General features: G+C 49.6%; 1 protein-coding gene across 3 annotated transcripts in view, besides 1 other annotated feature; it reads left to right on the top strand.

Annotated features, from left to right (window-relative positions):
• The window catches only part of MICAL3 (microtubule associated monooxygenase, calponin and LIM domain containing 3), a 236,913-nt gene that overhangs the window by 130,540 nt on the left and 82,521 nt on the right, over nucleotides 1-23,852 (top strand). For 2 of the 3 annotated variants that reach the window (NM_015241.3, NM_001122731.2), the window contains 7 exons: nucleotides 118-214; nucleotides 2,390-2,537; nucleotides 4,792-4,988; nucleotides 6,587-6,699; nucleotides 6,790-6,852; nucleotides 7,971-8,144; nucleotides 21,999-22,185. In NM_015241.3, coding sequence (NP_056056.2) covers nucleotides 118-214; nucleotides 2,390-2,537; nucleotides 4,792-4,988; nucleotides 6,587-6,699; nucleotides 6,790-6,852; nucleotides 7,971-8,144; nucleotides 21,999-22,185 — 979 coding nt within the window. Of the gene's footprint in view, nucleotides 1-117; nucleotides 215-2,389; nucleotides 2,538-4,791; nucleotides 4,989-6,586; nucleotides 6,700-6,789; nucleotides 6,853-7,970; nucleotides 8,145-12,718; nucleotides 12,818-14,619; nucleotides 14,677-18,467; nucleotides 18,576-21,167; nucleotides 21,276-21,998; nucleotides 22,186-23,852 lie in introns of all 3 variants that reach the window. The other variant, NM_001136004.3, reaches the window with a different exon arrangement.
• Nucleotides 8,018-8,518: an enhancer, noted in NCBI's record as "H3K4me1 hESC enhancer chr22:18368270-18368770 (GRCh37/hg19 assembly coordinates)". NCBI's record gives its function as "activates a minimal SCP1, AML or CMV promoter by ChIP-STARR-seq in primed H9 embryonic stem cells {active_cell/tissue: H9 hESC(primed)}" and the evidence as "EXISTENCE:reporter gene assay evidence [ECO:0000049][PMID:30033119]".

Here is a 23,852-nt window from a genome sequence, read left to right as displayed (position 1 = left end):
CTGAACTTTACCCAGCCTTCTATCCCAGACTTTCCTTTCAGCCATTCTGCTCTTAGGTAGGAATTTGTTACTTGATATTTGATTTTCTTTCTGTTTGACTTTGTAAATTTCTGCCAGGTGCGCCATTTATATGATACTGGCGAAACAAAAGATATTCACCTGGAAATGGAGAGCCTGGTGAATTCCCGAACCACCCCCAAATTGACTCGCAATGGTGAGTTCTGGTGGTGGCTTTTTAAAATGCAGGCAGCCCCTTCAGAGAAGTCTATACTCATTCCCTGAGCCACAAGGTGCGGTCCGAGGCAGTGGCCGAAGTACTGTCTGAGACAGTGGCTCTCAACCCAGGGTGATTTTGCCCTCCAGGGGATACTTGGTAGTTGTCTGGGGACATTTTTGATGGTCATGATTGGGGGTGGGCAGGAGCCAGGGATGCTGCTGAACATCCCGCAGTGCACGAGACAGGCCTCCACCACACGGAATTACCTTGGCCTGAGGTGTTACGAGAGCACAGAGAGAAACCAGGTACAGACGCGGGGCAGAGGGGAGAGAGGGAGAGAGTGTGAGAGCTAAGGTTTCGGGAGAAGACTTTGTGGAAAAAGTCTTTGGCTGGGTCCTGCAACATAGCCAGGATTCAGTGACAGGTGAGGACCACTCCAGATTTTGTATGTATTGAAGGCCCTGAATACTTTTTTGAAAGAGAATGACATGAGTACACCTGGTCAGCCACACGTGAGAGGGGTTGGAGGAGGGAAGTACCAGAGGCAGGGAGACCAGGTAGAAAGACCTCGCCATAGTCAGGCTGAAGGTGGTGGAGGCCCAGATCTGGGCCTGATGCTGGGGATGAAGAAGGGAGGAGGCAGTGGAGGAGACCTCAGACTTTGGGCCAGGTGCAACTGGGTCCCAGGCCAAGCTTTGCTGCTGGTGAATTGTGCGGCCTCGAAGAGGTGATTGAATAGCTCTGAACTTCGATTTCCTTGTCTGTGAAGTGGGGGCAGCAGTGTCTACCTCACATTGTGATCATGAGTGCCGGGCCTGTGGTGGATGGTCATTGCCATTGTTGGTTATGTGAGAGAGAATGGTAAGGAGGTGAAGTCGATGGGCAGGGGCAATTGATCACCTTGTGGGGCAAGAGGTAGGTGTTTGTAGATGGTGCTACATCAGCGTAGGCAAGGCAGAGGGAGGGCTGAGAGGGTTGAGAGGTTTGAGTCATTTGGACATTGTGAATTTGACGTGCCATTGGGATGCCAGGGTGGATGTGAGGACCAGCAGGCAGTTGGAAACATTTGCATTTTTCTCCACTGGAGCGTCTTCTCTTTGAAAGCAGAGAGTGTATCTTTATTCACTGTTTTTATTTTAGAGCATGGAATATTGAAGTTGCCTGTTACATATTGGATGGTTGGATATACACATAGGAGACAGATCTGAGTAAAAGCTCATTTCTGAGCCAAGAGATGGCACCAGAAGGTGGTTTTATGTGTTATCGCAGAATACATTTTCATGGCGAAAAACCTAAATGAAACAGGATTTTCATGATACTTGGTTTTTAGCTTATGTTCACAAATTACTAAATGACTTAGTACAAACTTCAGTTGCCCTCGGTAAGGGAACAGACTTTCTTGGATATAAATAGTTCATAGATTCTTTTGAATGGCCGATATCAGAGCTCTTCTGATGTGATTAATAATAGGATTTTTAAAGAGGCTGTTCGGGTTTTAGAAGACGTTTCAATGAACTGTAAAAAGCATCCCAGCACATGTGTTTGCCTATTCAGTTTCTCAGGGTTGAGAATTCATAGTACAAGGTGCCAAGCTCTGTTCGGGGACTGTCTGGTCTGGGGCCCCAGGGTTGTCAGCGGAGCCCTGCAGGGCTTCTTCTCTTGGCAAGTTATACAGTGCCTTGGAAGTGCAAGGGCGAGGCCTGGGTGCTTTGGGTTGAACGTGCCACCCTATAGAATGGAGCCTTTTCTCCTCTCCTCTTCCCAGTGTTACTTTGGAGGGGGTAGGCTTCCTCAGCTAGGTGCCAGCGACTGTCCGGGAACTCAGAGCTGCTGTAAGCCAGGCTGGCCACACAGTAGGTGGCGCTCCTCCACCTCAGTGCCGTGGGGACAGCAGGTTGTGGCTGTCAGGCTGTGGTCCCTCAGGGTACTGGGGGGTGGACGTTGACCTTAGAGTCTGGATAAACTAGTAGTTTCTTTTCTTAGAATTCGCTGTCATGATACCATTTGCATAACCTTGTTCCTCACTGTTTTCTTTGCATGGAAACTAGTGTTGACTGTTTCGTCCCTACCCTCAGTAATTTTTCAAAGGGGACATGTGTCCTACAAAGAGGATTCTCTGTCAGCATTACCAGGTGACCACACCTCCAATAATACTGTGTTTTGTTGTTTTAGAGTCTGTAGCTCGTTCAAGCAAACTGCTGGGTTGGTGCCAGAGGCAGACAGATGGCTATGCAGGGGTAAACGTGACAGATCTCACCATGTCCTGGAAAAGTGGCTTGGCCCTTTGTGCAATTATCCATAGATACCGCCCTGACCTGATGTAAGTTGTGATCAAACTTTGTGTTTTTTTATACTCCTCAAGGATCTCAGACCACTCTGCTATCAAGTAACATTTTGTCCTTTTTCCTAGAATGAGGTACATAGTAAGATACTTTCTCTAGAAGGCAGTGATTTTGATTTCACTATATTTGAAACTCTGTATGTCATGTATTATATAGCTCAACCCAGGAATGATTTTTATTTTTGTTTTTTTCCAATTTTTTTTTTTGTGCTCCTATAGCTGAGTTTTAAAAATCACAACACTCATAAGTCAAAAACTGGTTTTGACACCCACCTGGGCCTGTTAGCTTCCCACAAAGGAAAACTGTTTATTGGCCCCGGTTGAACTCTTCATTTCGGCCAGCTGTCTCTCAAATTCTATGGGTCACAAGGGAAACCTGGCTAGAACATTTGGCCAGCTCAAGGCAAATGTGTCACTACTAACAAAGCAAAACATCATGAACAGTTGACCAATTTATGATGGTTCATTGGTATTTTCTCTGTGTTAAAGACTGCGTTTTTTACAGACATACTCTGTTGTCCTACCCACCTATCCCAGTGACATCTCCTTTGGCCATTCTCCACTCACCTGTCTACAGAATCAGAGTTCTAGGGTGACCCCAGGTCAGCTGCGGGGACCAGCACACCCAGGTTCCCCCATCGGCATTTGTTACCACGGAAGCCAAACCGAAGGATTCAGAAGCAGAGCATGTTGCATTATTTTGGTTTCCTGTCCTTTTCATCATTAGGTCCACTTAAGGGGCCAATTTCTGTTTGTTTTGTTTAATGATTGCTTAAGGAATCCTACAAGATATAGTTGCTATTTATATGATGGTTATAAACTGACAAGGCAAGAGCTGGTAAAAATAGCCTTGTGCAGTGTGGATTACAAATGGGGATTTCTGGTGTGCTTGGATGGAGGTAAGTGACCTCTGGTGCTCCTGTCACTTAGCTCACCCAGAAGTTGATAGCAAGTAAGTAAAAATAGGGCTTATTCACTCCTGCCAAAGAAAGGGGGTAGGGCAAGGAAGAGCAGCTTGGGAAAGATTGTGATCAGTGGCAGAGGATGGGCAGGTGAGTCAGCTCTGTTCCAAAGGGAACAGGCAGAAGTGGTTGAGGGAGCCTAGCAGGTGGGGGTGGAGGGGCGCCTGGAGAAGGTTAGGGGACCGTCTTCTAGGAAGGCAAAGCAGCACAGGGACAGCGCGGCACTGTTCAGCAGCAGTGAGGTCATAGTTTCAGAGGCTGAACCTATGGTGAGGAGGAGTTTGAGAAAATGGAAAATGCTGTGGGATCCTAGATTAACACAGAATTAAGGGCTGCTGGGTTAACCTGAAGTCATGTAAAGAAGAATGCGATCAGTCTTCTGAAAAGCAAGAGGCTTAAACCCAGTAGGAAATGGCCATTAATCTAAATAGGAAACTTAGCAATGGAAAAATTTTTTGAGGAGGATTTTGGAATTTCCCCTCCAGGAGAAGGCTAAGATTGATCAGAGCTGATTTAGTACCTTAACAGCTTGTCAGGTCTAAGGGCCATGGTGGGTGATAGTCCCAGGCCTGTAGGAGCAATCTGATCCAAATGGGAGATGTATCATGTTTTGACATTAGTTTAATGTGGATGGGCCATACACAAGGATCAAGATATATTAAAGATAGTTCCTATTATTTTTTATTTTTATTTTTAGAGACAGGTCCCGCCCTATTTCCCAGGATAGAGGGCAGTGGCACAGTCATAGCTCATTGCAACCTTGAACTTGCGGGCTCAAGTGATTCTCCTGCCTCAGCCTCCCAAGTAGCTAGGACTGTAGGCATATGCCGCCATGCCTAGCTAATTTTTAATTTGAATTAAATTTTTAATTTAAATTGAACTCCTGGGCTCAAGCAATTCTCCTGCCTCACCCTTCCAAAGTGTTGGGATCACAGGTGTGAACCACTGTGCCCAGCCAGTCCCTATTCTCGAGCTCACATTTTAGTAGTAAATTTGTGTTACTAGAAAAATGAGAGTCGTTTTTTGACTTTCTCCCTTTTTTTCTTTGGTGGGTAGACCTTTCATCACTTCCTGAGGTTGCTTTGCTTTTCCTCAGTAAAAAGAAAAAGAACAAGAGGTGAGATAAGACAGGTTTGCTCTCAAATGTCAGCGATGCACAGCACCCTGGATTTTAGCTGAAAACAGAGAAAGGACGATGACTCCAGGATACTGCGTTTCTGTTTAAGGACTGTCAACCTATCTTGATATGTTTTCCTTGTCCTGTTTCTCAGAGATTTTGATTCTTTGGATGAGCAAAATGTGGAGAAGAATAACCAACTGGCCTTTGACATTGCTGAGAAGGAATTGGGCATTTCTCCCATCATGACAGGCAAAGAAATGGCCTCCGTGGGGGAGCCTGATAAGCTGTCCATGGTGATGTACCTGACTCAGTTCTACGAGATGTTTAAGGACTCCCTCCCCTCTAGCGGTAAGGCCTGGAAGGAGCTGCTTTGCGGCCCCCTGCTGCTGTGCTGTGGCCCGGCTGTTCTTCCTTCCTTCCGACTGTCCCGCAGCAGTGCCACCAAACACAAAGTTACTCTGTGTTTTTACCAGTTAGCTGTCAGGGAAATCTCTGGAGCTTTGCTTCATTGTTTCTCCCTTCTCTAGTAGTGTGTTCTCAACCCCTCCTTTCTTTCTCACTGCATTTATAAAAATGCAGAAATCGTTCCTGTGCCGTCTTTTTCCGTGACCACCACCTTCTAGTGCTCGTGCTCTCAGAGCCAGCCTTTTTGAAGAAGTGGCTTGTGCTTGTGGCCTCTGCTTCTGCACGGCCCAAACTTTGTAACGGGTTATAATCCGGCTTCTCTTCATACCGCGCTACTGCAGCTGTTCCCCAGTGAGGAGGATTCCCACCTCCTACTCTTTTCTCAGTTCCCATCTCTCATGCACTTGCTTTTCTGCATTGTTGAGCACCGGAGAACGATGTCCCTTTTCGTGGAATTATCTTGTCTCCTCTGTGTCTGTGATCCTGAACCACTCTTGTTGCCCTTCTTTCTCCTGTCACTGTGCATTCTCTTGGCTTCTTTCTACTCCTACTTGTTAGCACTTCCCAAAAATCTTTGCTTGTCTCTCAGCTTGCTGTCTCAGGCTCTCATAGTGCTACAAAAAATATTCCTGTTGTCATTAATTGTCCCTTAGAGTAAGTGTAGGTTGAGGCTAGAGTGTTGGCTGTGGGGTCTGACCTGGATTTACAGTATCCCAGGCTTCCACTTGGCCTTAGGCAAGTTACTCAATTTTCCTGTGTCTCACTTTCCGTCAACCTATCTTGTAAAATGGGGTAACGGGTGTAAAATGGGGATAATATGTATAATTACATTGTGATGTGCCAAGAAGGATGTTTGGCCAGTGGAAGTACTTAATAAATGTTAGTGATTTACTATGAATTAATGACTATTTTAAAAATTGCTGTTGTTACTAATGAAACATTGAAATCCAAAAAGCTTGTGTTACCACCCTCCAGTGCTTTCCAGCCCATATATTCTTGTAAGGATCTGTGGCTTTTCCTGGTTAGCCATGACGTTCTTACAACAGAAAGCCACAGCTCTAACATCGACGTACCCATTCAGTGCCACCCCCATCTGTGTGCAGCTCAGAGTGTGGCATCTGCATACACTAAAACCAGGAACCCTGAGTTCATCGCCTCTCTGCTTTTCTCTCTCCCTCCCTCTCTCTCTGTCCTGAAATTTTTGTCACAAAAACGAGCCTTCAGCACTCTGCTGTAACTAACAATCACAGCCAGCTTCCAACTTTTGAAAAGCAAAAGTGCGGGTTTTGGTAACTGTAGTAGATTGGGAAGAAGAGTCATTTTTGTTTATGTGGATGAACAAAAGAAGGTTCAATGTCCATACCCAAGTATGCATTTCCTCCGTGGCGTTTCCTACTGAGACCACATGCTTGTCCTGGAGCTGGTGAACCTTTAGAGCCTTCTGAGGCTCTGCGAACCATCCACGAGGGAGAGTAGTTTTGGTCAGGATTTTGCGGCGCCCTCAAGGGCTGTGCTTGAACATCACTGGTTTCTATTCCCAGACACCTTGGACCTAAATGCCGAGGAGAAAGCAGTCCTGATAGCCAGCACCAGATCCCCTATCTCCTTCCTAAGCAAACTTGGCCAGACCATCTCTCGGAAGCGTTCTCCCAAGGTATGTGGAGGAGTCTCTTGATGGGCTGCAAAGCTAATGGCAAGGTATGTATGGCTAGAATAATGCAGTTTCCCTCCTCCCTTGGTACAGGATAAAAAGGAAAAGGACTTGGATGGTGCTGGGAAGAGGAGAAAGACCAGTCAATCAGAGGAGGTGAGATTCACTTGGGGAATTGCTAGAATGGTCATGTGGAATAGCCCCTTTTGGTTAAAATTCTTCATTTCCACATTGGTATTGCTAGGTCTTTTCATATTCATCCTTTATGAGAATTTCTGTTGGGCTTTTTCTTTTCTTTTTTTTATTTTCTTTTTTTTTTTTTTTTTTTTTTTTTTTTGAGACAAGAGTCTTTCTCCATTGCCCAGGCTGGAGTATAGTGGCACGATCTGGGCTCACTGCAACCTCCACTTCCTGGATTTGGGTTCAAGCAATTCTCCTGCCTCAGCCTCCCAAGTAGCTGGGATTGCAGGCATGTGCCACCACACCCAGCTAATTTTTGTAATTTTTTTTTTTTTTTTTTTGAGACAGAGTCTGGCTCTCTTACCCAGGCTGGAGTGCAGTAGTGCAATCTCGGCTCACTGCAACCTGCACCTCCAGGGTTCAAGCGATTCTCATGCCTCAGCCTCCCAAGTAGCTGGGATTACAGGTGTGCATCACCATGTCCTGCTAATTTTTGTATTTTTAGTAGAGACGGATTTTCACCATGCTGGCCAGGCTGGTCTCGAACTCCTGACCTCAAGTGATCCGCCCACCTTGGCCTCCCAAAGTGCTGGGATTATAGGCATGAGCCACCACACCCGGCCAAATTGTTCTAATTTTTTAGTAGAGATGGGGTTTTACCGTGTTGTCCAGGCTGGTCTCAAACTCCTGGCCTCAAGTGATCCACCCATCTTGGCCTCCCAAAGTCCTGGGATTACAGGTGTGAGCCACCATGCCTGGCCTCTCTGGTTTTTTCTGTGGATGTTTGCCTTTGTTTAATTTTCCAGAGCACACCAGGGATGCACACACGTGCACCAGGGCCTCCTTGTCTCTTTGGTTCATACATGTGTTCGAGGGCAGTGGCTTCCTGGAATGTGGCAGTACCAGCACAGGTCCCAGTACTCTTTATACGGCCCTACCTCCAGGCTTGCTGTCTCTGTGTGGACACGGGAACCTTGAGAGCTGAGCCAGTCCACCAGCCCCCATGCCAGGTCCTGAGTGCACTTCTGTGAGGGAGGGGCATGGGGGGAGCCTCCTGTCACAGCGCCGGGTTCTTTGGGGTTGGCATTGACCAGGAGGAAGCTCCTCGGGGCCACAGAGGAGAAAGACCGACCCTGGTGAGCACTCTGACAGACAGGAGGATGGACGTTGCCGTTGGGAACCAGAACAAAGTGAAGTACATGGCGACCCAGCTGCTGGCCAAATTTGAAGAGAATGCGCCCGCACAGTCCATCGGCATACGGAGACAGGTAAACCCAACCCGTGCCCTGCCCACACCGATTTGGTCAGATCACACAAGAAGGGGGGATCTTTTCCATCCATTGAGATGGGCTGTGTCACAGACCCCAGCGTTCGTGGGCTGGCATCTGGCTTTCCCTCGCCTGACTGCAGCAAAGAAGAGCCCTGTATATGCTTGCTTCAGGCTCTGAGGGTTGCTCCGTCCTCAGTGTTCAGGCCTGAGGTGTCCACTGACAAGAATCAGCAGAGGGATCTAAAAAAAATCTGTATTCATATACCTGTACATCTGTACATGTTTGCAGACATATTTAAATTCTAGAGAAGTACACACTTACTGAGGAAAATGCTGAAAAGTACAGTAAAGGTAATTAAGCCACCTGTAATTCTATTAATTAATATTTTCCTGCCCTTCTTTCTGGTGTTTTTTTCAGTGTATTCTTGTTTTTGTAGATGAGGTCATTCTTAACATATACTTTTCGATTCTCCTTTTTTCATTTAACCGTAGGCGTTCCCATGTTGTTCCTGACTCTTTACAAGCACCTTTTGGAATGTGTGGGCATCAGGCTTCTCTTAGCTGTTGCTCTAGTGTTGGATGTTCGAGTTGTTTCTCATCTTTGGATAAGCGTTCTTATGATAAAGCTTCTTTTGTGTGTTGCAGCTGTTTCCCGGGATATTTTCCTAGGAATATGAGCATTGAGTGCTAAGCAGCACTCCCACATGCCATGCATGCGAGTGCATGGCAGCAGCTTGTGGCTTGGGGTGTCTTGGTTAGGGCGTGTCTCTCCCCTTGATTGTCTAAAAGTCACTCTGACTTCTTACAAGAGGCGGGGCTGGGATTTTGAAGATTCGCACTGGAAGTGTCTCATAAATCTCAATGATAACTGGAGAGAGCAGCTGGAGGGCAGGGCTGCTTCTCTGAATTTCTCTTCTCTCTCTCCGTCTTTTCCATGCCCATCAGCCATTCTTCCTATGGACCAGATGGGTGGGAGCAGCTTTGCTTGGAGTCTGGCCATAATTAACTACCTCCCACATCTAGTCTTTGCACGCCAGTCTTTTCATGCTATGGCTCACAGAAAAGGTGATGATATTCATTGATAAACGGTTGTGGTTGTCTGGAGGCTCTGGCAGCCCCAGGTGCCCCTACCTTGGGAAGGCTGGAATGCTGTCCGTTAGAGGAAGGTTGCCTCTAAGAGAAGGTTGCTTTCCTCATTTTGGATGGGAATATTAGTTTTCCAAATCAGAATTAGTGGCTTAGACTCAGAGAACATTTAGCTTGGAAAAGAGATGATGCGTATTACAGCTTCTGTTTTCCTTTTTCTGTTCTTTTGCATTTGCTTTTGGTTTGGGGGAGGCTGTTAGCTTTGCTTTAGAAGTGTAACTTTCTAAGAATGAGTCCCCCTCTTCCCCACAGTTCACAGATATGGGGCTGTCGCCTGTGAGTTCTTTCTGTTCTTCTCCCACCTTAATGTATTTTTATTTTGTTTTGTCTCCATGTCCTGTCCCCACCCACACTTGGCCTGTGTGTCCCAGCTGACACAAGAGCGTGGGGCCAGCCAGCCGTCCTGCTGCCTGCCTGGGCAGGTTCGCCCTGCCCCCACCCCCCGGTGGAAACAGGTAAAGGAACTGCCAGGGCCAGGATGGGTGCTGTCTCTCCAGGCCTTCCTACCCCTCCTCCTGAGCCAGCCAGGGTTCAGGCCTGTGCTCTGGAATCCTAGCTCATGAGGGCAGGAAATCTCTGCTCATTCGAGTAGTAGCTCTGGGAAAACATTGAACAGGCAGTGCTGATTGATTGCATGATTTATGTAACTCCTGGGGATTTGAGAAAGTTAAAAGGGAGACTGTTGATTTGGTTTGAAACTCGCTGAAGCTGTGTGGTAGGTGGCTCACCCAAGGGTACCCGCGCTCTTGGGTTTGCTGTTGTCACATTTGTCTCAAGTTGACTTTTTTCTAGCATGTTTCCTCGTGACCTTGGGAGAGAGAATTCTGAGTATGTCAGGCCTGAGAGTTGGGGTGTAGAGCCTTTTACATTAAATAGGAGAATGTTATCCAGGAAAATAGTCTGGAACTATGAGTTTGTGTTTGTTTTAAATCCTGGATGAAGGTATTCCTGGACATTTTCTTGGTGTTTTCTCTACATTTAAATTAATGTTTTTGGAAATTTTCACTAAAACCTTGGCAGGATCTCCTGGAAAACTGCTTATCCTAAGTAGTACAGAATAGGGCAGGTGATGGCATGCGCTTTCTAAGAGAAAACCCAGCAGAGGAATTGGGACCCCCAGCTGCGTTTCCTCCGTGTCACAGCTGAGCAAGTCCCTGCTCTCGAGTGGAGCCAGGGTTGGCTACCTCGTTGTCCGATATCATTTAGGTCTGCTGAGATGCTGAGAGGGCCATGAGTGGGCCCTGGATGCCGTCAGTGCCTTCCGTAGTCGGTCTCCCCAGCCTCCTGTGCTGTAAAGTGAGTTTATTGTTAGGAGATACTGAGGAGTGGTGAGTTGGGTTTTATTTAAATTACTTACATTCAGGCAAAAATGTTCCTTTCTAACCATTCTTTGATAATATAGCACATTAAAGGCAGGGCCCAAAAGGCTGAGATGGAATTTTGGGAGCAGTGTCCAAACTCACGACAGAAGGCGAATTCATTCTTTCTCTGTGCATGAGGGAGGTCTTCTGAAAAATGTAATTGGAAGTTTACTTGCATTTTATTTTCTTAACCTTTGCCTTGATGTCTAGGTGGAAGATATGATTTGAAAGATGATGCTTAGTTGAGGATCTGTTGCAGGGGAAGGTGAACTCCAAATTGGATTCCAAAACCTCTTACAGTATTCATAACGGGTGCCTGAGGTGGGAGGAGCAGAGGGAGAGGGAGGTCAGGAGTGACATAGGCGAGTGGGGGAACAGGTGGTTGTGGCTGGAATGGCACTGAGGGGCCGCCAGAAGCACTCTCCCTGGAGAATGTTGGTAGTCCCTGCCAGCGCAGCTTGTCACCTGAGTCGGTATGGTCATGGTGGAGTAGGAGACTGGCAGGCTGTGTGGGCAGTGGAATAGAACCATGAAAGTCAAACGCAGGTTCTGTGGGATGGGCACTGGAGATTACAGTTGGAGACAGTAGCTGGGCAGATGTATAAATGAGACTTGATTGGTGAGAAATCGTTAGCGGTGAGAACCCCGTTAGGTTCTTTGGTACAGGGGATATCCAATAGGGATTTGCGAATTTACCAGGTGGCAGGGAGATAGCACTGTGAACCGGAACTCACAGTTCTTAAGTCCATGTGAAATGTATAGTATTCACATAGAACTTTCTCAGCTCTAAATCATGCATTTGGGCCTTCTAAATTTATCTCCTGAAAGAGAGTTGGAGTTGCAGTGCCAGATACTTGCAGAAGCCTGGGACAGAGGAACTCCAGTGGTACCCAGGCCCTGTGTCTGATGCCTCCCATGGCTGGCCCTCCGCATCTCCCTTCAAGAAGCAGGGCTGACTGGCAGCATCCCATTGTGACTCATGGTGCTTCTCTGGAGGTGGTTCAGAGGCAGGAGGGCATTGCCTGGTAGGACAGTGATAGCTGAGTTGACAGAAGGGCCCGCCTCAGCCTAGGTCATCATATGGAAGAGGGAAAATAATAGCAGCTCAGCCTGCCAGTGGCTTCTCTTTATTTCCTTACTTTGTAAACACTGTGGCTCTTCCCTTCCCCACCCTTTTGCCTTTTGATCTCAGAAACACATCCCAAAGGCAAGCTCTGTGCATTAACCAGCCCTAGTTTGGAAGTAGATTGTCATGGGAGCTCTGAGCGAGTACGGGGCTGTTTCCCCAGACCTCGTGGCTTCCCTGCTCCCCGGCTCCCTGCATGCTGCCCCATGGGTCACCTGGGCACAGGGAGATGAGACTTCCTTGGAAGGTATCAGAGAGGCCTGGGAATGTGTGATTGTTTCTCAAATACCAGCGGCTTTGTAAATTGTAGACAGACTCTCGAAGGGAATACGGTGGAGGGGGCAGAAATGAGGGAAAAGCCAGGGACATGTATATGGCATTCAAATGTTAGTGAGACACATTTAATTTTGACATCATGCTCCTGCCTTTGTTGCATTTCCTTGTTAGTTTCCTGGAGCCCTTTGAGCCTCCATGAGTGCAGGGACTGAGAGGAGGGCAGCAGTGCCAGCCACTATCACAGCTGCTCCCTGAAGGGGCTGCTGCTTCGCTTCATTGGATGCACGTGACCAAGCCCTTGAGAGGGGGTCTCTGTGTCCCCTCTTAGTGGTTGGCCTGTTTGCCCTCTCTACTCATCAGCAAGCCTATTTCTTGTATCCCCAACTTCCCTGAGAAAACTGTTGCTCCCTGGCACCTGGAAAGTGCTGCACCGCTGGTTCTCCCCAGTCCCGCAGATCACCCCTGTGGCTGTGCCTATCAGAAGGTGCACGTCCCACCTGGGGGCCCACGGGAGACCACTGGGCTGCCCTCTGAGGATGGAGGGGCAAGGAAAGGCCTCCCTGGGGTGCTTCTGACAAACACCCTTCAGTCCTCCCAGAACCAGCTTCCACATGGCCACTGTTTGAATGATGTTCTCTCTGTTTGTGTCTGTTGGTGTAAAAGCAACGGGAAAAGGAGTGTTCTCGGACCTGCCCCAAAAAAGTGATCACCCTGTCTCCTCCCCCTACTCCACCTCCCTGTCGGGCACATGGCGGCCAGCAGGTGATCCTCTCTGCATGCTCCATGTTCCTGTCTCTGTCTGCCTGCCTGTCTGTGTAGGTGGCTAGTGTAGAGACCAAGTCACTTTCCCTCTTACCAGCAATAACTATCAAGAAGAAAGGCTATGCGTAGAAACCGTTTGTGGTGGAAGCAACTTTTATGGCCCTCAGGATGGTGCATCCTACATTCACACCTGACCCTAGTCAGTCCCACCCACATCATGGAAACACGACTGTCCCACCACGAACTAGAAGTTCAACTGTAATTGATGTTTGTCGTGCATCCGAGGCCCAGGAGCCCTGAGAGCAGCCTGTTTTTCTAAAACCCCACTGAAGGCAGCCCTTTTCTCTCGCTGCACAGTGAGGTGGAGTAAGGCCTTCGGGCACTGCCGCAGGGCTTCTCCACGTGAGTTTCGTTCCTTCTGATTCTGGGAGCTCTGCCTCTTGCCCATTCAGCATCTTCCAACAAACACTCCTCCCCACTGCACTTGCACGCCAGGCACAGCATTCAGGAGCAGCCCCATAGCCAGCCACAGCTGTGGCCAGTGAGGACAGCAGGCCAGTGAGGACAGCAGGCGTGTGTCTGCGGCATGTTTGTAGGATGGCATTGTTGACCTTCATGGTATGTTTCTATAAAATGTGAGTTTCAAGAGCAGGATCTATGGAAAGACATTTTCCCACCTAGGGTGGCCTGTTTAAAGTGTGACCGTATTAACGTGACTGATTTTAAAGGCCCCACCTGTGTCCATGGTTCTCAGAACTGAGCCGTTGCAGGTTGAGCAGCTGCTGGGTGCCTTCATCTACACAAGAGCTAGCCGTCCTCAGCGTCCGCTGTCGCCTGGAAAGCACGCTCAGTTCTTCTCAAGCTGTGTCTCCGTCAGTTCTCACAGTAACCCTGTGAGGCAGGTGCTGTTACTGGCTCCGTTTTACCAGGGAGGAGACTGAAGTATAGAGTGGAGAGGCCATGTCACGTGTCTGAGCCGCATAGTAAGCAATGCAGCCAGACTCGAATCTGGCTTGTGGGACCGGGGCTACGCTCTGGCCTCCCTCTGCCCACAGAGACATTATGCTCACGGGTGCTAGATAGGAGCAGCCACGTCAGAGGCCTTGGGGCTGTTTTTCCACCCGCACGTGGCTGTAAGGTGAACCCTTAGCCAGCCAGAGAGTAATGCGAGGAGCCTTCCCTGGTCCTGTGATTGCCGCTTCTGGCTCCTCGGATGAGCAAGGCCATGTCCCTACCTGCAGGTCTTTACCCTTTCACATATACCTTCCCGTCCATTCGCCAAAAACACATTCACTTCTCCCTTTAGTAAATTATGCTTTGGCCCGATGCTCCTATTCAGGAACCACTTCCCACTCTGGAGTTTCCTCTGGACTGCTGTCTTAGTCATTTATTCTAGCCAATTCCCACCTCCCCACCTTTGCTTTCTAAAATGTCTTGTTGTGGAATGTGTCACCCTTTTAACCTGCCTCTCCTTCTAAACCTTCCATTTGATGCCTCTGATCTTATGCCACTGTGTGAAAGAAATATGCTTGTTCCACCTTTGTACTAACCATAGTTCTTCATTGATCCGTGTAGCTGGCCTCGTCGGAGGCCAGTGGGGGGTGGAATGGCTGTGCAGAAAGTCGGCCTTGTGTCATGGGATTTGATACAGATGGGATTATGGTTACCTGGGGATGGGGTTAGTAGGGGAAGGCGATATGTGTTGAACTCTGCATTTCTGCCCCTGAATTTCCCACTGTCGTTTAGTAGGTCCAAATAGAGCGATATGCATGGAGCTTAAGTTTCTACTTTGTTGCCAACAGACATACAGGGATCTTGATGCTGACAACCGTGGCAAGCAGAGCCCCCACCATGAGAGGGTAAAAGAGCATGAACCCGTGGCATGGGATGCTGAGAGCCAAGCACACGGGGCACGCTGTGGTGGTGGGGCAGCGGGAAGGGATATGGGGGACGGCCCCCTCCCCTTGCTTTTTGCACGCTCTTGTCACCCAGCCAAGAGCCAGAATTCTTTTTGCTAGCAGTGTTGACCAATGCAAATAGCATTCACTGTAAAGCAGTCACCCATCTGGCATTCAGATGGGATGCTGATCCTAAATGTGCGTATTGTAAAGGGCCTTAATGACTTCCCATTTCTGCCCACTGTTCCCCTTCCAAGACCATACTATTTCTACCCCCAAACTATGTGCCAGTGGTAGAGTAGTAGCATTGGACTGTCAGATACAACTTCTTAGGGAGAGGGTCTAAATCAGTATTCAAGTGGCATTCAGCAGTCACGGATCTTGAAGTGGAAATCCTAAGAGAGCCAAAGCTCTTACCAGCGTGAGGATTTTTCCAGTGGGATGAGAATGAGGGGGAGAAAGGTAGGTGATGGCAAAATGGGGCTGTACCCGTGGAAAGCTTTAGTCTTTTCTGAAACACTGAGGGGAGAAATTACTGATTGCAGCTGGCCATCGTACAATGTGAGGGATAGCCGAGATGCCCAGTTAAAGAAGCCGGCTTACTTTATGAAACTTTTGTTCTTGTTATTCCTACCCTTAAAGATCTCCAAGTGGGTACAGCTCTGCAGCTAGCGGGAAGAATCATCTCTAGTTGTTAATCTCACAAAAGCCATTTTGGTTTCTAACTCCCTTCTGCCTTTGCTCTCTGAGAAATGCAGTTATGGCCAAGCAGTAAATTAGGTTACCCCTCGGACCCGATAGGAGCTAATCATAGTGCCATCTTCCTGCGCCCTCTCACCAGGCTAGCAGCGGGCAATGTGTGTGCTGCCTGAACCTGGTGCTGGGTCGGAGAGTGGAGACTGGGCTGGAGGTGGGGGTCTTTCCCACCCCCTTTCCATGGCCTCGCCCCACGGTGCTCACCCTTTCTGGGGCTGCTCTCCCACGGCGCTGTGTGCCCAGCCTCTTTCTCTCTTCTTCCCAGGCTGTGTCCCCTCAAAAAGGAAAGCAGCCCTTTTCACTGAGCAGGGCAGTGCCCTCCATTTTGCAGATTGTGTATTTAATGAGATGCTGATAATGTTTAATGAAACAGCGCCTAAAAGAAGAAGGGAGGGGAAGGCCGGGTGCGGTGGCTCAGGCCTGTAATCCCAGCACTTTGGGAGGCCGAGGCAGGCAGATCACGAGGTCAGGAGATCGAGACCATCCTGGCTAACACAGTGAAAACCTGTCTCTACTGAAAATACAAAAAAATTAGCCAGGCATGGTGGCGGGTGCCTGTAGTCTCCGCCACTGGGGAGGCTGAGGCAGGAGAATGGCATCAACCCAGGAGGCAGAGCTTGCAGTGAGCCAAGATCGCGCCACTGCACTCCAGCCTGGGCGACAGAGCCAGGGCGACAGAATCAGACTCGGTCTCAAAAAAAAGAAGAAGGGAGGGGAGCATGTTGAATAGGAGAGATTGGCAGTGAGAAACAATTTGAAGTTTAGGGCTGTGGTGCAGAGAGGGGATGAGTTAGGGTTTTTGAGCTCAGGAGGCAATAAGGCTTGCAGAGATGTTTCTCTCTTTTTCCCTCTGAACTGGTTTCTGCACTCCTCAGTGCAGGGCTCCAGGCTGGATACTTTTGAGGACACTACTTAAGTTCTTTTCTTGGACTCTGCTGCCATCCTCCATAACCTCCCTAACCTCCATAACTTCCCTAACCTCCCTAACCTCCATAACCTCCCTCACCTCCATAACCTCCCTCACCTCCCTAACCTCCCTAACCTCCATAACCTCCCTAACCTCCATAACCTCCCTAACCTCCATAATCTCCCTAACCTCCATAACCTCCCTCACCTCCATAATCTCCCTAACCTCCATAACTTCCCTAACCTCCCTAACCTCCATAACCTCCCTCACCTCCCTAACCTCCATAACCTCCCTAACCTCCCTAACCTCCATAACCTCCCTAACCTCCCTAACCTCCATAACCTCCCTAACCTCCATAACCTCCCTAACCTCCATAACTTCCCTAACCTCCCTAACCTCCCTAACCTCCATAACCTCCCTAACCTCCATAACCTCCATAACCTCCCTAACCTCCATAACTTCCCTAACCTCCCTAACCTCCATAACCTCCCTAACCTCCATAACCTCCCTAACCTCCATAACCTCCCTAACCTCCATAACCTCCCTAACCTCCATAACCTCCATAACTTCCCTAACCTCCATAACCTCCCTAACCTCCATAACCTCCCTAACCTCCATAACCTCCATAACCTCCATAACCTCCCTCACCTCCCTAACCTCCCTAACCTCCATAACCTCCCTAACCTCCATAACCTCCATAACCTCCCTAACCTCCCTAACCTCCATAACCTCCCTAACCTCCCTAACCTCCATAACCTCCCTAACCTCCCTAACCTCCCTAACCTCCATAACCTCCCTAACCTCCCTAACCTCCATAACCTCCCTAACCTCCCTAACCTCCATAACTTCCCTAACCTCCCTAACCTCCATAACTTCCCTAACCTCCTTAACCTCCCTAACCTCCATAAGCTCCCTAACCTCCATAACCTCCCTAACCTCCATAACCCTGCATGTGTACTTGCCCTCTCTGCCCCACCTCTACCCAGTCCTACCCAGTCCCCCACTCCTCCCCTTGGCTCTGACTGCTCTGCCCCCCAGGGGGCTACTGAGTCTCCCTCTTGCTTCCTTCTGAGGGGCGGTGCTTACAGCCATCCTCTCCAGCTCCCTCTGGGGCCTGTGTTGCTGAGCCCAGGGCCAAGGAGCTGGCTGAGTGTCTCAAGCAGAGGGTGTTGAAGTACCAGGTAACTGCCAGTCTATGTCGCCACCCCACGGAGCTATGAAGTGCACGTGGCTGAGGTAGGGAGTGTGACCAATCTGGCTTGGAGCTGGAGGAGCAGAGGGCTTTCTAGCATCATGACTTAATGCTGTCCTTCCCACCTGTAAATAGTTCATTCTGAACCTGGTGGGAAATGAAGCAGTTATTGGTTGCCAAAGCTTTCGGTCACTGCCTCAATCTCTGGGGACTGGGTTCCTAGCTGCATGGGCCCACGGCTAAGGGAGACCCTTGCCCAGTTTTGTTACGTGTGCTATGTGCAGTCTGCAGAGGATTTGGGCTCAAGTCTTTTCTCCTCATCTTTGCTTGGGATTCAGCTGGCTCTTTGGCAAGCAGAGCCTCTCTGAGCACTAAGTGGAAGGAAGAGATGCTGCATTCCTGGCCCTTCTGTAGAAGGAGCGAGCTTCACTCTAGATTTGCTGTCTCCGCTGCCTGCTACTTCTAAGGCCAATGGAGTGATAGGGTGGCGGGAGAATCTTTTTGCCCTGGAGAAATCCCAGCTCAGGCCGGGGGTTGCTTGGCAGAGCACAGAGCATGTGAGTCGACAAGCCATCCCCCTGCCCTTCCTGCAGGCTGCCTTACCCATTCAGAGGGAGGCCGAGGCTGTGCCGGGCGGCCCACAGCTGCGGGACCGCGTTCCAGGGTGTGCTCTGCTGCAAGCATGAGGGAAGGACAGTTAAAAGCAAAACGGAAGCCTTGCATGGGCCGCTTATGCTTCTGGAGCTACTTTTTTTTTTTTTTTTTTTTTACTATACATGGTATTTAGATAAAGGTCTAGAGTAAAAGGCTCTACAACCATCTTATGTTCAGAGGTCAGTGTGTGACTTAATTTAACATTTCCTTTACTTTTGTTTTTCTCCATCTTGTATTTTATAGCCAGAGCCTGAACCTCCTCGTCGATTTTTTGTCGACCAGTGGGAGCTTTCTCTTAGTCTCCGCTCCTCTGCCCGCCCCGCCTCTCCCTCCTCCGACTCCCTCCGACAGGTAGCATGGCCTAGGACTCACTAAAACTCTGCCCTCCGCAGCCTCCACTCACGTCACTTTCGCAAGTGTCATGTACCCCAGGAGGCTGCAGTGTTCCTCACTTGGGCCCGTCTCCTGTAGGGAGCCAGCTGCATGTGTTGCTGTTTGCCTGTGTCGGTCTCGTGTGTGAGGTCTGTGGCACACTCCTCAGCTAAAGTGGCTGCTGGCTTTCATCCAACTGTATCTGACACATCCAGGTCTGTTGATGTGAACCCGCTTTGATCCTATTTCAACTATATCAAATAATGATAAATGTTTTGCAGCCATTGGCTTTTTTAACTTCACATGTCTTCCAAAATAATATGTGTTAAAAAGTAGGAACCACAATGTAATTAAATCACCTCAATGGAGGGGTGATGATGCGGTATTCTGGCTGCCTGTTGTCATCATTTGAGGAATGTACGCGGCTGTCACCTGAAGTAGCGCTGGTCCAGTTGTAGGGAGTTTCTAGAGAGATTGGAAGGTCTCTTTGCCACTCCTACTGGTATTTCCCATGCCTGAGTTGACGCCAGACCTCACGTCCTATGTGCATGGTAGCATATGCACGCGTATGGTGTGCGGCGGGATCTGAAGTAGCACTGGTTCAGTTGTAGGGAGTTTCTAGAGAGATTGGAAGGTCTCTTTGCCGCTCCTACTGGTATTTCCCATGCCTGGGTTGAGGCCTATGTGCATGGTAGCATATGCACACGTATGGTGTGCGGTGGGATCGATCCCGCAATTGCCACATTTCTGCTATTTTTTATGAGTGATGAGAAGGAAACCATCGCTTTTCATGCCAGAAACAAATAGAACTTGAGTCTTCACCTCTCTTGCAGGGATGCTTGTCAGTGTTGCCAACTTGCTGAGAACTGAATGTGGCAGATGCCTTTGCACGGGCAGCCCCAGGTTTAGTTCAACTAAACCCAGATGGTTTAGTTCAGGAGAAAAGGGTCCTGGCTGAGCAGTGAGGGCCCAGGGCTGGCTTGGTGTCCTGGCCTCATACTTGGCATCTGGCCCACACTGCCCCGTGTCTGCTGCAGAATGAGAGAAATGCCATTTTCTGCTCCCTCAGTGTCAGCTGTTAAGTTACCTGCTCAGCTCTGCCTGGTGTCTGTCTGTCCCAAGCCTCAGTTTCTTTAGTGTCCCTAAAGAAGGTTTAGATCTGAGAGCCACGTGTTTGTCTTGACCACTAATAGGTATAATCTGTGAAGTTAATGGGCAAATGGCACCAATCCTTGGGAATCTTATTTTTGAATTAAAAGCTATAATTGCTTCTTCAGTTCAGCTGAGCCTTGAGCTGAGCCACAAGAACGGCTTCGTCGTGTGTGCATCTGTGAGCCCCTCGAGCGCCTGCTTCCCCCTGCCCGGTGCTTCTGTGTTTCTTCCTCACACGAGGCCTTATGTGTCTGTCCATTCAGGCCATGTCCTAAGGGGGCTGTTGGCATCCCCGGGATAATGGCTCATGGTGAGTTGCTGAGTCAGAATTAGGGTCAGGTTCCCCCAGGGGGCAGGGAGCCCCCTTACTCCATGAAGTTCATGAGAGGAGCATCACCCACATGGTGGTGTGGCCATCTCCACATGGAAGGGTGATTTGATCGTGGGAGTCTCTAGAGGACTTCCTCTCGGGACAGGTCAAGGCGGGGCTGCCTGGGCACCCAGCTTAGGTGTGAGCAGGGCGGCTCATGATGGAGACGTGGAAGTTTCTCCTGTGGTTTCAGTGTTGCCAGAAAGAGGCTTGAGTTGGTTGGGTTTTTTTCTCTTACCTTTCTTCAACCTCTAAAATAAGCCCTCCTGGCCTAGAACACATTCCCACCTTCCTGGGCTGGTGGAGCAGCTTGGCTGCATGGCCACACCTCGTGGCCAACATGCCCAGCCCAGTCTAGAAGGCTCTGGCCTCAGCACCTGGATGGGCCACACGGGCCTCATCATGCTGCCCTCAGACCCCCAATAACATCAGCAGGGAGAAAGGGCTGAGAAGGCTTCTTCCAAAACAGCCTGGGAGCGTTCGCTGCCTGTGGCAGGCATTGTGGGGTCAAGCGTCAGGAAGCAGGAAGAGCTGGCGACGTGCGCTACCCACACAGAGGCGGCCTGTGCAGGAGTGAACATGGTTCCTTCTGAGTGAGGAGATGGCCTCCTGGACCGTGAAAGGCAGGCTCAGCCTGGGCACTGCTGCGTGCATGGGGGTGCCCCTCGAGTTCTGTGAATGCAGCCCAGCTCTGCAGGACCCAGGCCCTGCCTGCCTGTCTCTGTGCGCGTTCGCCCTGCCTTCTACCACCATTCCCTGGAACTGTGCATTCCACAGAGATGGGAGAGACCCAGTTCTTCCCAAGGAAGACACTTCCCCTGCAGCCGTCCTGCCTGTGCCGGTACCCCTGCGTGGACACTGACGCGATGTTTTTCTTCCACCCGGTTTCCCTGCCTGTGAGCACTGTGTTGGCATGGTTTGCTGCTGCACCTTGTATTCAAATTGCACTTCCCAAAGATTTCTTTTTTTCCCCGTGTCTTCTTAATTTATGTATTTTTTTCCTTCTCATTTCCCTTCATTCTGGTCATTTTGTAATCTTCAACCGATAGAAGTATATAAAGATGTACACGGGCGGAGTGAGCTCATTGGCTGAGCAGATAGCCAATCAGCTTCAAAGGAAAGAACAACCCAAAGCCCTTCTAGACAAGAAGGAACTGGTAAGAGACGCCTCCAGGCACTGTGTAGCTAGACCCAGCACAGCCATGGGAAACACACCTGTGTGCTGAGTCACTTATAGCTTGCATAGCCCGTGTATGCTATGCGGTAATTGCTTTTGAGGTTGTCTGGGTTTTGATAACCAAATTCCTAAGACTGCAGTAGTTGTTGTGTGAGTCCAGGGACCCACATATATTCATGTGAACTATGTCAACACGGAATAGATACAGATACAGCTACCCTCAGAACAGAACTCTGCTAGCATTTCCATTTGAGCTGGGGACCCTCGGGCCCCTTCCTGCCTTCTTCCATGTGTGTGTTTTCCATCATGCCCCTCCCATCCCTTCTCGCCCCTCTCCCTCCATTGCTCTTTCTCTAAGACTCTTTCTTGTCGATATTTCCCGGCGTCGCCAGGCTGTATCATAGCATTACTCAAGTCTGGTGTGAAGCACTGTGATGCTGGCTCCCTCGTCAGCAGCAGGCTGGCCCAGGCTTTCGCGGTTGTGCCAAGTGTTCTCTGTCAGTGCGTGGAGGCAGTGACTGTGGCGGTGCCGTCACTCTGTGGCAGAGCCAAGAGCACAGTTGACCGTAGCCAGTTAGAAGTCTGTCTCAAAGCAGACCCCTTAGTGAGGGTTGGCTTTGCTCTCGCAAGGCTGTGCCTCTAGGAGGGCCTGTGTGGCACTCCCTGAGGTGCTCCCCTTCCTCCCGACCGCCACCTCCTGCAGGGCTCCATGAAGAAGGAGTTCCCGCAGAACCTGGGAGGCAGCGACACATGCTACTTCTGCCAGAAGCGGGTCTACGTGATGGAGAGGCTGAGTGCCGAGGGCAAGTTCTTCCACCGGAGCTGCTTCAAGTGCGAGTACTGCGCCACCACCCTGCGCCTCTCGGCCTACGCCTACGACATCGAGGATGGTGAGACACCCTGCGCCTCCGGCCCCACTGAGAAACTGTGCTTGGACAGTGTTTCCATCTGAGCTGGGCGCCTTTGGGCCCCTTCCTGCCTTATTCCATGTGCGTCTTTTCCATCATGCCTCTCCCAGCCTTTCTTGCCCCTCTCCCTCCATCACTCTTTCTCTAAGACTCTTACTTATCAGTATTTCCCAGCGTCACCAGGCTGATGAGAATGGCATGCATTTACCTAAGTCATTTCCCTGACTTCAGGGACACTTACTTGCTTTCTGACCTCGGGGTGGGAACTTGAGATAAAAGGAACACAATAAAAATAAGGTTTTTTGTCTTTACGGAAGGGGACTTGCACATCCATAGAAGTCACATATTTTGCCTAAGGTTGATGATGACAGCAAGTTGGAGCTGGGTCTCAGGCCCCTGGGTTCTCAGACCTTTGCTCTTGGAGATGTCTGCAAGGTGGCCCGTGTTAACACCTCTCTGGCATCTGTCTGATCTCTCTCTGGTGGATTGCGAACCATTGCACAGGGCCTGAATCTGATTTACTGTGGTGTTCAAGGCCTGGTCTTTGGCAACATGTGCTGCCAGTTTTTACAGTGAAAAGACCTTGATAAGGTAACAGTAGAGAATTCTGCACACAGACGATAGAGCCATCGTGATGGGCAGAGGCAGGCTGGCCGCCATCTGAGGACCCTGCATTGAGGACCCCCAGCCCCATTCCTATAGGATGCTGGAGGGACTTCGTGGGAGGCAGTCTTATAGATTCCAGAGTAATGAGGGGGCCTAGATTAATAGGAGAGGCAGTAATCTTTATAAGGTGGCATAAAGACCTTGACATTGATAGAAGATTGCGTGACTGTGAGATTATAAAGTGAGGTCATATAGGAGAGGGATGCCATGCCGTTAGGACCTAGTCACTTCAGCTGTCCTGAGGGTGAACAAACAGTCACCTCTGTTAGAAGGAGCAAGGAAGGAGCCCAGAGAGGTGAGCCGAGAAAGGCTGACTCCTGTCATGGTGCCTGGCCCTTCTGCTATGTTGGTAAAAAGCACTCCCGAGTCGGGGAAGAATGAAAGAATTAGGACGCTGTTTAGATAAGGCAGGCAGATTGTTTGCTGTCAAGTCTTCTGTTCCACCTCTCACACACACCTGCTCTCTGGATAGCTCATTTGATCTCAAGGATGGGGCCTGGCAGAGGGAGCCACCCAACCTCGCTGAGCTGTCCCTGATGCTCAGGGTGTTCTAGTTAGCCTCTCACCGTGGAGTCTGCCCGGAAAGAAGATGTCGCAAGGTGCAGCTAATTGATCTACAGGTACTTTTGCCCATGGGTGTGTGTGTGCATCTTTGCTGCATTCTGTGAAAGATGCAGAAGTGTAATGTGTGCCTCCAGGAGCTCACTGTCCTATGGGGATGAGACCCATGAAGAGTAGCAGGCGACACGAGTGTGTGCAGCGAAAGGCTCGGTTACACAGCCTAGGTTGTCGCTTTGTAGAAGCACAGGGGAGGAGGAAATCTGTGAAGTTCAAGAGCATCTTGGGATGACCTCCCTGACCCTTGGCTAGACTTTGAGAGAGAAGGGTATGGTGACTGAGTAGAGGGCAGAGGTGCGCACCTGGTGGGAGATCGGGTGGCAGTGAGAGGCCGAGACAGGATGAGGCCAGCCTGGTTGAGTGCA

This window comes from Homo sapiens, chromosome 22 (genome assembly GCF_000001405.40).
Source record: "Homo sapiens chromosome 22, GRCh38.p14 Primary Assembly".
In the NCBI taxonomy this organism is placed as follows: domain Eukaryota; kingdom Metazoa; phylum Chordata; class Mammalia; order Primates; family Hominidae; genus Homo; species Homo sapiens.
The sequence above is the reverse complement of the archived record's forward strand: the minus strand, read 5'-3'. Positions and strand labels throughout refer to the sequence as shown.